The sequence below is a fragment of the Homo sapiens genome, chromosome 1, assembly GCF_000001405.40.
Source record: "Homo sapiens chromosome 1, GRCh38.p14 Primary Assembly".
Classification (NCBI taxonomy): domain Eukaryota; kingdom Metazoa; phylum Chordata; class Mammalia; order Primates; family Hominidae; genus Homo; species Homo sapiens.
In genome coordinates, this window is record NC_000001.11 from 59,010,231 (window position 1) to 59,024,994 (window position 14,764).

At 44.1% G+C, this 14,764-nt stretch overlaps 1 long non-coding RNA gene across 1 annotated transcript in view, besides 3 other annotated features; it reads left to right on the top strand.

The window, feature by feature from the left end:
* Positions 3,334 to 3,413: an enhancer, noted in NCBI's record as "active region_1101". NCBI's record gives its function as "activates an Ori minimal core promoter by ATAC-STARR-seq in GM12878 lymphoblastoid cells {active_cell/tissue: GM12878}" and the evidence as "EXISTENCE:reporter gene assay evidence [ECO:0000049][PMID:35858748]".
* Positions 9,928 to 9,977: an enhancer, noted in NCBI's record as "active region_1102". NCBI's record gives its function as "activates an Ori minimal core promoter by ATAC-STARR-seq in GM12878 lymphoblastoid cells {active_cell/tissue: GM12878}" and the evidence as "EXISTENCE:reporter gene assay evidence [ECO:0000049][PMID:35858748]".
* Positions 10,008 to 10,117: an enhancer, noted in NCBI's record as "active region_1103". NCBI's record gives its function as "activates an Ori minimal core promoter by ATAC-STARR-seq in GM12878 lymphoblastoid cells {active_cell/tissue: GM12878}" and the evidence as "EXISTENCE:reporter gene assay evidence [ECO:0000049][PMID:35858748]".
* Positions 10,246 to 14,764, top strand: part of LINC01358 (long intergenic non-protein coding RNA 1358) — a 67,772-nt gene continuing 63,253 nt past the window's right edge. Inside the window, exons 1-2 of the long non-coding RNA NR_110626.2 lie at positions 10,246 to 10,393; positions 11,258 to 11,347. This is a non-coding gene — a long non-coding RNA (long intergenic non-protein coding RNA 1358). The remainder of the gene's footprint in view (positions 10,394 to 11,257; positions 11,348 to 14,764) is intronic.

Below are 14,764 nucleotides of genomic sequence, written 5' to 3' on the forward strand. Positions count from 1 at the left end.
TTTCTCCATGTTGGTCAGGCTGATCTTGAACTCCCAACCTCAGGTGATCCCCCCACTTTGGCCTCCCACAGTGTTGGGATTACAGGTGTGACCCACCGTGCCCAGGCGGCTATTTTTTTTTTTTTTTAACTGCAGGGATGGGCTTCATATTTTCTTTAAACCTTGGGTGAGCCCATCCAAAAATGTATCTTCAAGTCTGATCTAGCCTGTGGGCCACCTCTACTATTGTAGGTGTTCATATTGTGTAGTTTCTTTCCTCTGCACTATTGGCATCTTCTTCCCTTTGTCCAATGGACACCATGACCATGTTACCATGACTTAGCCCTGAGACCAGGGTGGCAGGCCAAAGATGTTGGAAGGCAGAAAGAACACACACCCATCTGGTGGCTTAAGGTTGGATCTCAACTCTGCCTGCCATCTACTAGCTGAGCAAGGGACATAAACTCTCTGATCAAGCCTCGGTTTCATTTGTAAACATATATATATATACCCACCACCCAAGGTTGTGGTAAGGAATAAAAGAGATGATAGGTATGAAAGGTTCAGCCCATAGAAGATGTTCAAATATGGTAGCTTCCTTCTACTTATTACAAATCCTACCTACTATTCAAAACTCGATACACGCTGCAGCCTCTCCAGCCTTCTCTGACCTCCTCAGCTGATGGGGCACTTTCTCTTCTGAATTGCATTTGTCCTTCATGGCTTGTGAATTAGTAAACAATCCTTGGCATTACTAGGCAACTTTTCATGTGTATGTGTGATATATTGCCACAATTTGGTCATCAGCTCCTTAAAGGCACTTTTCTCCTTCTCATGAGCTTAATTCCTTATCTTTTACTGTTGAGTAGGCACTGCCTTGTGCGAAATTTTCTCATAACAACCATGTAAGGGAGAGGGCATGCACCATGAACTGGACGCTCTGATGAGGCAACTGGCTCACAAAGTTGGATAGCTAGAAAGAAATCAGTAAGCATATAGTGTTCACGGTCACCAAGCAGACCAAGCAAGATAGTGCGGATGATCAAACTTAATCCCACTTCCACTTCCATAAAAATAATGCAAAGTGCAATTTTCTGAGGGAAAGTGCGGTCGGCTAAAAAATGTCCCCCTAAGATATCAGGTCCTCATCCCTGAAAGCTGTGATTATTTCCTTAAATGGAAAAAGGTGTGATTAAGTTAAGGAGCTTGAGTTAGTGAGATTACTTTGAATAGTCCAGAGGGGTCCTAAATGCAATCACAAATGCCCTTTTAAGAGAGAGGCAGAGGGAGATTTGACACAGACAGAAAAGAAGGCAATGTGTGGAAAGAAGCAGAGAGGGAGATTAGACTGCTCCAAAGCAGCCATGGGTGCTGAATCAGAGAAAGAGATGCTACGCTGCTGGCTGTGAAGATGGAGGAAGGGGCCATGACCCAAGGAATACAAGGAATGCATCTCTAGACACTGGAAAAGGCAAGGAAATTGAGTCTCCCCAGGAGCCTCTGCAGAGAGTGCGGCCCTTCCAACACCTTGATTTCAGCCCAGGGACACTGATTTCAGACCTGTGACCTCCAGAACTGTAAGAGAACAAATGTGTGTTGTTGTAAGCCACCAAGTTTGTGGTAATTTGTTACAGCGTCAATAGGAAACTATGACATCAAGTGAAGGGGAAAAAATAGCAGAAATAAAGAAATAAGAATGAGGCATGGAACTAATGTGGGGGATTTGAAATAACCCTGCACAAAATCTCCACGGACCTGAGTGCTTGTCTCAGTAATTTCACCAGCTGGCTATTTCATCTTGAGCAGATCACTTCACCTCTGTGAGCCAGAATCTCCTCATCTGTAAAATAGGATAAAAACCTAACTGTCATATGTAGATGCTCGAAAAAGGGCAGCTGCTATTACATTAATATTAAAGAATGACAAAACATGGCCGGGTGGTGGAGGTGGGTTCTAACTCTCCTTTCGTGGAACGCAATAGCTGAACCGATGTGACCCACTGATGAAATTCAATAGGAACCCTCTATACTCACTTTACAAGGAGAGAAAGAAGTCAAAAGATAGAGATGTATTAATTTTATGTTTTGCCTTCATACTTTTTCAACCTTATACTTTCATTTAGGTCTTTGGCTTTTGCCCATCCCAGAAACCTGTTAAGATGGCATGCGACTTAGCACAAAATTATACATTTAGTCATTTCAAGTTTAAAAAAGAAAATATTATGCCTATAGGTGATATTCTGCAGTGACCACCAAGACCCCAGGACTCTTCACATGAACCTGTCTTTGAGCCACTGGTAGAACCTAACTGACACTCTGAGATTGTTCTGCCACCTACTAGCTGGGTGAGCTTCGGGAAGATCGTCATCTGCTCTCTGACTCAGTTACTTCGTCTGTAAAATGGGAATACCAGCTTCCTCAAAGGGTGCTTTTGTGGAGAGGTTAAAATAACACAGGGAAAGCACTTAGCTTGAGCATATATAGTCAGTGCTCATTAATTAGTAATTTCTTAGCACTATTATTGTTATTATTGTTACTCAGCTCTCAGGGAACCTAATTAACTGTAGTAAAATTTCGACTCCTGTATTTTTGAACCAGTTAGCTTCTGTAGGCAGGAACCTTCTGTTACTCAAAACTGCAGAGCTTAGTGATTAAGAGAAATGAAGATAGAGGCTGTAGTTTGCATTCTATTCTCACCGTTTATTGTGTGGTACTGTGTGATACTGAGCCAATCACGTAAGCTCTGATCCTCCGCTTCCTCATCCTCATCTGTAATATGAAATGATAATGGTATTTATCTCACAGAATTGTTATGCGGAATATATAATACAGTGCTTTTGAAGCTGGCATACGCAGGTAGTAGGCACTCAGTCAATATTCAATGAATTAAATTCCTTCACTTGAATTTCCATTTAAAAACACAGAAAAAAGTCTACAGATCTGAAGCAAAGAATGTTATTGGGCTCTTCACCACTTGTGAAAACTGCAGCTTGGTGCCCCACCCCTGTGCTCATTTTATAAGGCACAGGGTTTTCAGTTATTCTCGGTGTTTCTAGGAGGTTGACTTCTCAGGAAACGGTACCTGTCTCTCCCAGAAACCTGGGGTGTTTGCCTGGAGAAAAATCCCTTAGCCAAGAGACCGTTGTGACCTTTCACAGGCAAATTTACTCACAGCCTAGGGTGGGAAGAGGCCTAGGGAGCTCCCCTTCCAAGGGCACCGGGCTATGGGAATTTCCTCCAGGGCCTTCCTGGGCCGGCCCTGGCCGCGCCTCACTGAGCTCCTTGCAGTTTCTGTCAGCGCTGAAACTGCTGTGGAAAGTTCAGCTCGAGAAGAGGGAACTAGGGTGTTTTGCTTTTTTTCTTTCTTTTTGAAAGTTGAACAACCCTAAGACTTGATTTAGAAATCTTAACCCAAGCCAAATGCTTTTCTGATGGGTGACCACCCCAAGGAGCAACCAGGCAGGGTACTTTGACTTTGCAAGGACACTGACACTGGCAGGAGCCAGATCTCTCCAGAAAGCAAACGGCGCAGGTTCACACGCCACCAGGGACGTGTGCTGGAATGTTGCTTTGTTTTTGACTCTGAATTTACGGTCTCACTCCTCCTTCCCCGCCCCCTGGAACGCGATTTATTATTATGCAGACCTAGTGGCTTTTCTCCAACTTTATTTCTTTTTTCAGAAATAAACAAGGGTTTTACAGCTCCATAACCTCTCCAAAGTTTGTTTATTCTTCCCTCTGTATAGTGTGGGCCATGTTCGTTCCCTGGGAAAGTCTCTTCCCTAATTATTTTCACATTTTAACAGCTTTTGTTTCTTCTTTCTGTGAGGTTTATGAAAATGCTGACGGTGGATTTGCTTCAGGCTAAATTGTACCATAAACATTTTCTCCTAGGCACATGGGAGCCTCGGTGACCAGGGACCATGTTGCTATTCCTTATTGTGTACCATGCCAGAAGGAAATTTTAAAATCCTGAAATACTCTTTTTGATGGCTGGAAGAAAAATATGTAAATTGGTAATACAGAGAAAATCTGCTAATCTTGTACAAGGAATTTTGGACAATATCATGTAGGTAAGAGCCAGCTGTGAAAAGGGCTGCCTCAAACGCTGAGCTTTCATTTTAGGTTGAGCTCTTTCTGCCTCCAACCACAGACTGAAATTTGTTGTGTTTTAAGGAAATAAAGATTTTTAAAATGAAAGGCTAGTATGTTTTAGCAAAATCTTGGGATTCTGGGATAGGTAAATGTTTGTTTCAGGCAGAAGGTGTAAACCTAATCTTGATGTCTGCATATTTGGTTTGAAGACTGAAGAATCTTTCTACCAATAGCAATCCTGAATTCTAGGAGACATGGAGGCTCAAAAAGATGGTGTATAGTTTCTTTCTCTCATTGTTATATGGTTCTCAGTGCCTCGCTTGTTTCTGTACAACCTCTCCCTCCATCCACCTCTGGATAGTGCTACCACCTATGGTGCCATAGCATCTCACCTGATATCAGACAGAAACCTCAAACCCACCCTGTTCAAAATGGAATTTTTGCTCTTTTCCCCAATCTGTTCTCTCTCCAAATTCCCCACCTGGTGACACCATCATCCCCAAAAGCCCTTGCAGGAAGCCTGGAGTCCTTCTAACTCTCTGCTGTCTTATCTGATCAGGCCTTGAGTTCTGTTTATTCTATCTGCCCAATATCTCTCAAATTTGTCCACCTTTCTCTTTCCCCACAGCCATTTGCCTCATTCAGACTCTTACTGCCCCTCACCTAGACCAGTGCTACAGCCTCCTTGCTGGTCTCCATCAAATCTCACTCTCTCTACCCCCCATGAAAAGAATCTCCTCCAGAGCTACAAGAGTGTTCTGACCGCAGTATCATTGCTTCCCTGCTTAGAAACCACCTATGTTCCTCTCACCCTATGCAGCTGGTCCAAGACCTGGAGCGTGGCACTCAGAGCCCTCCCTGAGCCAGTCCCAGGCTTGCTCTGCCACTCAATGGCCACATCCACATGCCCTTTGACATGTGGCCACTCCCTGAAACACTTGCCATGCTCTTCTGTGCTTCATGCTGGTCCCTTGACTTAGGGTGCTCTTCTCCCTCTTCTCTAGCTGGAAAAACAAAACAAAACAAAACAAAAAAACACCCTCCTTATGCTTAAAGGCCCAATTCAAACCCCAGCTCCTCTATGAAGCCTTCCTGAATTCCCCTAAGCAGAGTGCTGCTCCCTCCAAGTATTTCTGAAGCAGCTTGTACACATCTTCACACTATATCCCTTCTACCCATTGTAGAGTCTGGCCTATGGGAGAGACTTAAGACGGACATAGGAGGCCTTACTGAGCCTGTTTCAAGAGAGGCCCATGTGGGGATGTGCTCGTGGTGATGAGGGTGAACACATGGCTTCCAGCATTGCTTGGAACACCATGGATAGAGCTTTGTCTAGGTCTGAGGGTGACTGAGGAGACTGGAACAGGGCAGGGGCTGCTATTATAGGCAGCAAATTGTGTCCCCTTCAGAGATCCCCTTGGAGAATAAAAGGGAAATCAGCTTGGACCTCCCCTAACTCCAGGTGCCACGGATTGTCTGGATCCTCCTGCCACCAAGTACCTCCATCCCCTTGGACCCATGTAGGGTCAAGCCTAAATTTGTCATGTCCCTTAAACGTGAGGAATTAAAGTAAGCGCCAGCCTGGCTCAGGCTCCCACCTCCCCCGACTCTGATCTGGCCCTGACTCAGCTTCTGTTGCATAGGAGGAAGTCCCAGGATGCTTCCAAGATGATCTCACTTGTGCCTGTTGGCACATGTTTCATTTAGGAATAGGATAGCAAAGAGGCTCTGGGGTTGAGGGCAGGGGTCCCCCTGCTAAGACTTGAATGAGACAGTAAGGATTCTCAGGTCTGAGAGGCCTAAATTCCAGTGCTTGATTCACTCATGCAAACTCACTCTTCAGAGAGCCTACTCTATGCCAGGCATTGAAGCCAGCATCCTTGTCGTACAAGAACTCTTAACTCTGTGTGGGAGGTGACTTCAGGGGTCTGCCCAACCCCTGTCTGTATGATAGGGATTAGCACCCTTGCTCTGTTTGCAGTACAGGGGTGGGGTGTGAGGACCTGCTCTGTAGACCCCTGGGTCAAAGTTAGGGATGCGACATGTGCCAGGTGCAGTGTCTAGCACACTGTGGATGCTCAATAAATATCCATTGAGAGCATGAGAATAAATGAATGGTTTCTGCTCTCAGCCTTATTAGGGAAGGGCATGACCATTTACAGAACACCCGCTGTGCTTCACTGATGTCACAGCAGCGTGCACACAACTACAGCCAAGCCTTCCACCACACTGTCTCCCTCTGGGTCTTTGTGTGCCTCTGATGTCTTTTTCTTGCTGTCATGATCTCTTTTCTCTTTGCCCACTTCACTCTCACTCCTATGCAGGTGTCCACCTCTCTCTCTCTCTCCCTCTCTCTCTCTCTCTCTCTCTCTCCCCTCTTGTGTTTAAAAGTGAAACAGCAGGGCCAGGTGTGGTGACTTATGCCTGTAATCCCAGCTACTCAGGAGGCTGAGGCAGGAGAATCACTTGAACCTGGCAGGAGGAGGTTGCAGTGAGCCAAGATCGCACCACTGCACTCCAGCCTGGGCAATAGAGCGAGACTCTATCTCAAAAAATAAAAAATAAAAAGAATAAATAAATAAATAAAAGTGAAACAGCTTTGGGGCTGACTGGAGTTGGATGTAACCTGGAAGTTCTATGATTATACACCCCTTTGAGGGCTAGGATCCAGGTCAGTTTGTTCACCACAGTGTGCCTGACACCTAGCATTAGAGGCCATATTCAGTAGGAACCCGAAATATTGTTGCATAAACACATCGGTTTATATATATATGGGTGAGGAATGTATGCTTGGGAATGCTGAGGGGACCAGCACAGAACCAAAGAACACTGAGCAAGAAGCTACAGTTTTGCTCTAGCTTGGGCCTAAGCTTTAAGAGATGGGTTGAAAAAATTCCTTGAGGTTTTTAGAATGTCCAGCCAAGCTCCCTGTGTGAGAAATCTGACCGAGATTGTGAGTAGAAGCTTCTCTCCGGAATGAAGAGGCTGTGTCTAGAAACACCATCTCTGGGTTTTATCTCTTAGAGACATGAGGACCTGGGGAGCAGGGGGCTCTACAGAAGCCTAATGTTTTAGGAGCATGTAATGCAACATTCCTGACCTCAAGCAATAGTCAGCTCATAAAGATCTTAACTGTAATAGGGGTCCCTCCTCCTATTCTGCTCTGGTTGGTCGCATCAACCTGCACAAGTTCCCACTCTTTAAGCCCTATCCATCTGTTAAATGAAGGGTGCAGGTTAGATGATCCTTAAGGCTCTGCTGCTCTTGGATTTGTGAAATTAGCTAACGGATGAGCTGGGGATTTAAATAGGATTCCATGCCAGGGGCTTTTACCTTCACAGGACAATGGGAAACTAGGCTCTGATTGATTTCATTGCCTGCAGCACTGAATATGTCTGAGTTGCAGGCTGACTCATATAGGCCCTTCTAGAAGAGCTACTGGCCCAGAGAGGACGCTGCCTTCACTCTGAGGGTGGTCACCAGTACATGTGAATATGAGCGTAGAAATCCAGGTCTCTGCAGTGCAAGTGTCCATAATGGGGAAAAAACCACAAATATTTCACAACTCTCAGAAAAATAGTACTTGGTAGCCTATGCATGTTTATATTTCCTCCTTCAAGTGGTCCTCCCGCCTCACAACACACATACATGCATATGACCACAACTAATGCGATCAGGCAGTGTATACCTCCTAAACCACACACGTCCACATGCGCTCTTGCGGACATGCAACATACTTACATGTGTTACTTGGACACATGCCTTTGACATATATAGAGATTCTATGTGTTCCACACACATGCATATCCTGCATATTCAGACATTCCATTTTTGCCCTCACCTACTAGCATGTCCCAATCCCTGGAATGTGGCAAAAGGCAATAAAGGATGCAGATGGAATTAAGGATGCTAATCAGCTGACTTTATCTGAGTGGGCCTATGTAATCACAAGAGTCCTTAAAAGGTGGAGGAAGGAGGCAAAAGAATCAGCATCCAGAAGAATCAATGTCCAAATGTGATGTGAGAAAGACCCCACCAGCCTTGGCTGACTTTGAAGATGAAGGAAGGGGCCATCAACCAAGGAATGCAGGCAGCCTCTAGTTGAAAAGGCTGGAAAATGGATTCTTCCCTAGAGTCTCCAGAAAGCAGTAAAGCCTCCCACTGCCTTGATTTTAGCCCAGTGAGACCTGTGTCCAGCTTCTTACCTCTGGAGCTGTAAGATTATTAATTTGTGTTGTTTTAGGCTGTGAAGTTGTGGTAATTTGTTACAGGAGTGATAGGAAATGAACACCCACAGAATCAGACAGAGTCCCAACCTCATGAGTCTATGGTCTGAGAGAGGAGACAGGCACGAAACCAGGTGATAGACAACAGAGTAAGAGAGGCCGCAAAAACACAAAGGAGGACTCCCCAGCCTACACTTGGGCGTGGAGGGAAGATTTCCTCGTGGAAACTCCATAAAGGCAGGGACCAGTATTGACCCAGGTCTGCAACACTGACCACTATATCTGCACACACCCGATGCCGATAAGTGTTTGCTAGGGGAAGGAAGGAGGGAGAGAGGAAGAAAGGCAAGAGAAAGGCCAAAACTAGGACCCAATAGATAAATAGGATTTGAGGTGGGCGAATACAAGGTGGGGTGAACTGTCCCAGGCAGAAGACCTAGGGCTATTTTGAGAACTAAGTAGAGTTTCCTTTGGCTGGGACACAGTGCCCCACGGGGAACAGGGAAAGATGAGTAGGCAGGGCACAGATCAGGAGGAGCCTTATCAGCTATAATTAGACATTTGGCTCGTATCCTACGTGCAGTTGGTGCATGCTCGCTCTCGCTCGTTCTCTCTGGTTCTGTCTCCCCACCCCCACCCACTTGGGTGATATTTTAACATCTTTTAAATGAAGCATGTTTGTTTGATCTCATTTATGCTAAACAATGCTTATGGAACTATTTCCTCTTGTTCCCCAGGCCATACTCATGTCCCTACCCTTCAGCAATGATTGAGGACCTAGCTCCTCGGTTATCATTTTGGGTAAGATGGGCCCATCCAGTGGACAACAAGCACTGGATCTGTAACCACAGCCATCTGGGTTTGAGTTCATACTCCTTCATTTCCCAGCGAATGCTTAACCTCTTTCATCCCTGGTTTCCCTGTCTGGAAAATGGGTCCAGGACAGTGCCCACCTTAAGGGCTTGTTGTGAGAATCAAAAGAGCTAGTTCATAAAAGTGCTTTGAAAGGGCCAGATGTATCCTGAGTAGTCAATGGCAGTTGTCTACCACAATCGACACTCTTTGTATAGTTATTGTCAACCAGCCATAACTATTGTTACATGTTACATGAGTTTCCATGGCTCTCCAGATCTCCCTACCCTTCTGTACCCACCTCTGCACCCTAGGAGGCCGACCTGCATGGGCCCCATCAATGATCTCCCTTGCCTTCTAGCTCCCAATTGTGCCCAGCCTTTGCAAGTTACCAGCAAGAGATGCAGGGAGTGGCAGGAGAGTGAGGATGGGGGATTTATTCTCCCTGCTCCCTCCTTTTAGGATTTTGCTAGGGCTTGGCTGCTTTCTTCTCATGAAGGCAGCCTCTTTTTGGGGAGCCCTCTCCCTACAACTCCCGTCTTTTTGTTCCAGGAACTGCTCCCTCTTCTTGCCTTTTAAGAGATAGGGAAGGTAATGACTGCCTGCTGTTATAAGCCCCAGAGTTTCCTTTGCATCTAAGTAAATGATCTTTTCCTTAAATTCCCTCCAAGTTACACAGTTTGAGTGTACCATCCATTTTTTGCTAGAACACTGACTGAGACAACTTTTTTTTCAAATACTGGGACTGCTGGCTTCACAGACCGAGACTCCATCCTGATAAGGAAGCCCTTGTCCCTTGTCCCACTGGTTAGCTCTAGAACATTCAGCAAGGTGATCACATTGTCACAAGACCACTTCTTTTTCATTCTGCATGAAACTGAAAATGTCAAGAAAATTTCTGAGTTTAATAGACAACATGATCATACTCCAGACTAGAAAATGAAACCAAAACCAATTGACCTAGGCAGAAAGTTAGGTTGTAACGGGTTTCCTGCAGCCAAAGAGCCATGAGTCACAGCAGCTGGCTCAAGGCTGGGAGGGGAAGTAAAACACTAAATCTAAGGACCACTCTATTCACCCTACAGTGACTGCTCTTTTTCCCTCCTGCCACAGTCCAGGGTAGGAGATACTTCTCCAGGCTCTCACTTATGGGGGCTTTCCTGCTGGCTACATCACTGAAATGGAATCTCCTAGTGGCCCTTCTCCCTCTACAGCTCTGGTGTTACACTGAAAAACTAGAAGGTCAGTCCCTTTTATATTTACCACCATTAAGGTTGCAGGAGCCCAGCATGTCCCCATAGGCCTCCTTCTCCATTCTCCTCTTCCCCTTGTTTTGTGCCTGGTTTGTTTCCTGTCCAAATTGGGTCCTCCTTTTCTAGACCATGAGCTTGCTGAGGTCAGGGAATGAGTCTTCGTATCCTTGGTACCCAGTTCAGAGCCTGCCTTTAGGGAGTGTTTACTCTAGCACTGTGGTTAGGCAAAGAGATGTGAGTTTGAGTCTTGGTTTCCTTAGTCTTTTATCACTCACTTCTCAAATTAAGCCATTTGTATTTTTTTTTCTCTCTCTCTCTTTAGAGACAGGGTCTCACTCTGTCACCCAGGCTGGAGTGCAGTGGTGCAATCATAGCTCACTGCAGCCCTGAACTCCTGGGCTCAAGCCATCCTCCTGCCTCAGCCTCCCAAATAGCTAAGACTACAGGTGCACATCAATGCCTCTGGATAATTTTTTTTTTTAATTTCTGTAGAAACAGGGTTTCACTATGTTGCCCAGTCTGGTCCCAAACTTCTGGTCTCAAGCAGTCCTCCTATCTCAGCCTTCCAAAGTGCTAGGATTATAGGCATGAGCCACTACATTCAGCTACTGCTTGTATCTTCTGATTCTTGTTTTGATACCACTGACCTTAGGTAGGGTATTTTATCTTCCTGAATTTTATTTTTCTATGTGTATAAAGGAGATTAAATTATCCTTCTAATAGGCTTGTTGTGGGGATTAAGTGAAATAGTGTATACAAAGTTCTTAGCATACTTTGAAGCTATTATTTTTATTATTATGCTAGTAAATAAAACTTTCTGGAATTAGAGACTCACATGCCTGTTTGTCTACAGTTTCAAAACAGACAAGGGAAAAAGAGAAACATCAGAAAGTCTGATTAAAGTAGAAGCATCATATTTCTATCAACGTATCCACTGTGCTTGGTAAGTGGCAGTCTCTCGTCCTGTAAGAGACTTGGGCTTTGAAAAGGGCTTTGGATCTCAGATCTGTCGACATGGGCCTTGTCATGAACCTCAGCTTCCTCATCTCCAAAACTGCTATAGGCCAGGCAAGGTGGCTCACGCCTGTAATCCCAGCACTTTGGGAGGCCGAAGCAGTTGGATTGCTTGAACTCAGGAGTTTGAGACCAGCCTGGGCAACATGGTAAAACCCCATCTCTACCAAAAATACAAAAAAAAAAAAAATAGCTGGGTGTGCCCGTGGACACAGCTAACTGGGAGGCAGAGGTGAGAGGATTGCTTAAGCTCGGGAGGTGGAGGCTGCAGTGAGACAAGGTCATGCTACTCCACTCCAGCGTGGGTGACAGAGCGATACCCAATCTCGAAAAAAAAAATGGTATAGTAATAGCCTCCGCTTGAGGTTACTCTTTCACTGAATGATAAGTGAGCACCTACTGTGTGTCAGACGTTACTCTAAGCTGCAGACACAGCCTCAAAAAAGACAAGCTAACCCCTGCCACCATGGGGCTTATATTTTAATTGGGAAAGGGGCTGGAAAAGACAGACAATAGACAAATCAATAAATTCATTAAAAAGCTAACTTCAGGAATTGATAGGTGTTATGGGGAGAATGAAAGAGGACCCTGGGATATAGAATGACTTTGTGGGGGAATCAGGTTGGGATCCCTGGATCAGGTGGTCAGGGTGGGACTCTCAGAGAAAATGACTTTTGAATTTAAATAAGAATGAAAAGAAAAAGCCAACCGTAGGCAGACCTGGGGACGGCCAGTGCAAAGGTCAGAAGTGAGACAAGGTCATAGAGTAACCAGGGTTAAAATAAGGTGATGCGGCCTAACTGGCCAGAACAATGCCTGACAAAGGTGCTGCTTTCCCCAATATCTTCAAATCCTTAAGGATCTACTGTGTGCTGGTGTAAGATGCAGAAATCAGTAAATCATGCTACTATCTCTAAGAAACTCATGGTGTAATATAGGAGAAAAAAAGACACCATCAAAATAAATGAATCAAGACCAGGCAGATGAACATAACTGAAAACAAGTGATAGCAACCTGGGAGATGACATAGACATGGATATGGAAATGGATATGGATATGGGTAGATATGGATGCAGGTACAAATGTGGATAAAGGTGGGGATGTATGTTGGGAAAGGCAGTCTCTTGCATGCCGTCTTTCCACCCCTGCTTGGCCACCTAAGAATGCGCATTGGGCCTGGAAGACTTCCTTACCAAGAAATAAAGAATCCTCAGCCTGTGCTGGACTTATCACCTTTTGTGGGAATATCTTTTTCTGTTTGTACTCTTTTGCTTTGCTTAAGGGCATGCATCATATGGCACTTAGAAACTTCGCTACTGTATCTGTCCTTTGCAGGCAGGGGATGGGCCCTTCTGCTGCAGCATAAGAGGGGTCATTCAATGGCCTGTGTCAGCTACTGGGATGGACCTGCTGTCCATGGGATACTGACACCCACTAGTGAAGCAGATCTTGCTCTGTCTCTTCTCTGTGTGAGTAAAGTTCTGTTCCATCCAGTGCTTGACTGTGTTGTGTTTTTCGTGGCAATTTCAATACCAACATGCAGTGGGCACAAGCGCTTAGACTTCTACTCCGGTTAATAGGAAACAGATACCACTTGCTTGCCAGTTGGATGTGGATATTGGATGTGGATAGATGTAGATATCAATTAAAAGAACAAATGAATACGTGATTGAATGAGTGAATACATATAAGGAGGGAGAGGGTTGGGTCAGGGTAGATGAGAAGGGGGATGAAGGAGGCAGAGGTGGGCAGAGGTGGTGATGTAGAAGAGGTGTTCACCACTGGGAAAACTCCAACTGGGCTGGAGCAGAGGATCCTTGTATGGAAATCATGTCTGGAAACTAGCAGAAGACCAGTTATGGACAATTTTGGCTTTGCTTTGTGGGCCTATCATGCTATTTATACTTATATGATTAACAGACATTTCTATAACATACCAGACCTGACAAAGCTGCTACAACACACCTGAGTTCACATGAGTATGTATTGTTTCTCCAGTTTCCATTGGTAAAAGTGCAGTGCAGAAAATCGTTTTCTGCCCTTTCTCTGTGGCCACTTTGAGGTCAGAGATTGTGTCTTAAATTCAACAAGAACAGAACTGGAATAGTAGAATCTTGTTTTGTTGTGTTTTTGTGAAAAACATAAAAAGGCTCATTTTAGGCTTTAATAAAAGAAGGGGCCTGGAGGCATCACTGGTGATGGTAAAAAAAAAAAAAAAAAGCCATAATTTTATGTTTTTATAAGATTTTAAAATGTTAAAATCAAATTATGAGACATAAATCAGGATGTTCAGAAAAAATTATAAGAACCCTCATGATGTTTATCAATGAATGATCCGTTTGATTCTGTGCAGCCTCATGGCCAAAACCAAGCACAGAGTTAGTCAGATAACTGATCTCCTCTACACATATGATCTTCTTGGGGGACTCTGTTTGGCAAAGGAAGCTTTGGGGAAAGCTCATATAAACCACTGAGTATAGTCAAATGATTTAGACCTGAACACTTTTTAAAGTAGGAGTTATCTGTCCACTAATAAATATTTTAGTAAAGTGTCATGGAACATGCAGTTTTTTTTTAAGGTGGACAAATAATTTTATTTTGTGCATGCAAATACACGTCAAGTACTGCAAACTTTTTCCATCAATTTTCTCTCAAACACTGAAAATCATGATGTCCTATTTTGTGAACAGCCAAAGCTAGTATCTCTTCACTTCAGTGCCACAGCAAAAACATACAGAATTCACTCTTTGCTATTCACTATCATCATAACCCTCGTTGTTTCATCTCTGCCCTCCCCTCTTATACAGCCCTTATAAATTCTAGTCTTATCCCATTTAATCCTATTCCTATAGCACAAAGGCAAACATTACAATTTGGAAAATCAAATTGAAATCAATGGCATAGAATTTATTCCCATATATATCCCCCATTTCATTATACAGAATTATTTTAAGTTATAGTTAAAACTATGACATAAACATGCAGTTTTGAGCGATATAACTTGCCAATAAATCTTCCAGGTTAAATTAGTTGCCAATTATATTACTAAAGTTACCAGGAAAAAAACTTGAGCTATTGTAAGGGTTATGGGCTATGAGACAGTTATGTTTTTGTAGTTGCCAGCTCAAAATAAAGTTTCAGAAGTATTGATATTAAGCCACTCTTGCTGCCAATAATTTGATAGACAATCACTTATCCATTTAAGTAATAAGTTTAGTCAGAGGGAAGATTCTTTTTTATCATCTCTGTGGGAATGTGGGATGGCACACCTTTGTGACTTATTATACAACCACGATAGGTAGGAACCAGTGCTGGCCTTTGTAGTCTCAGGGTCTATATGAAGAGA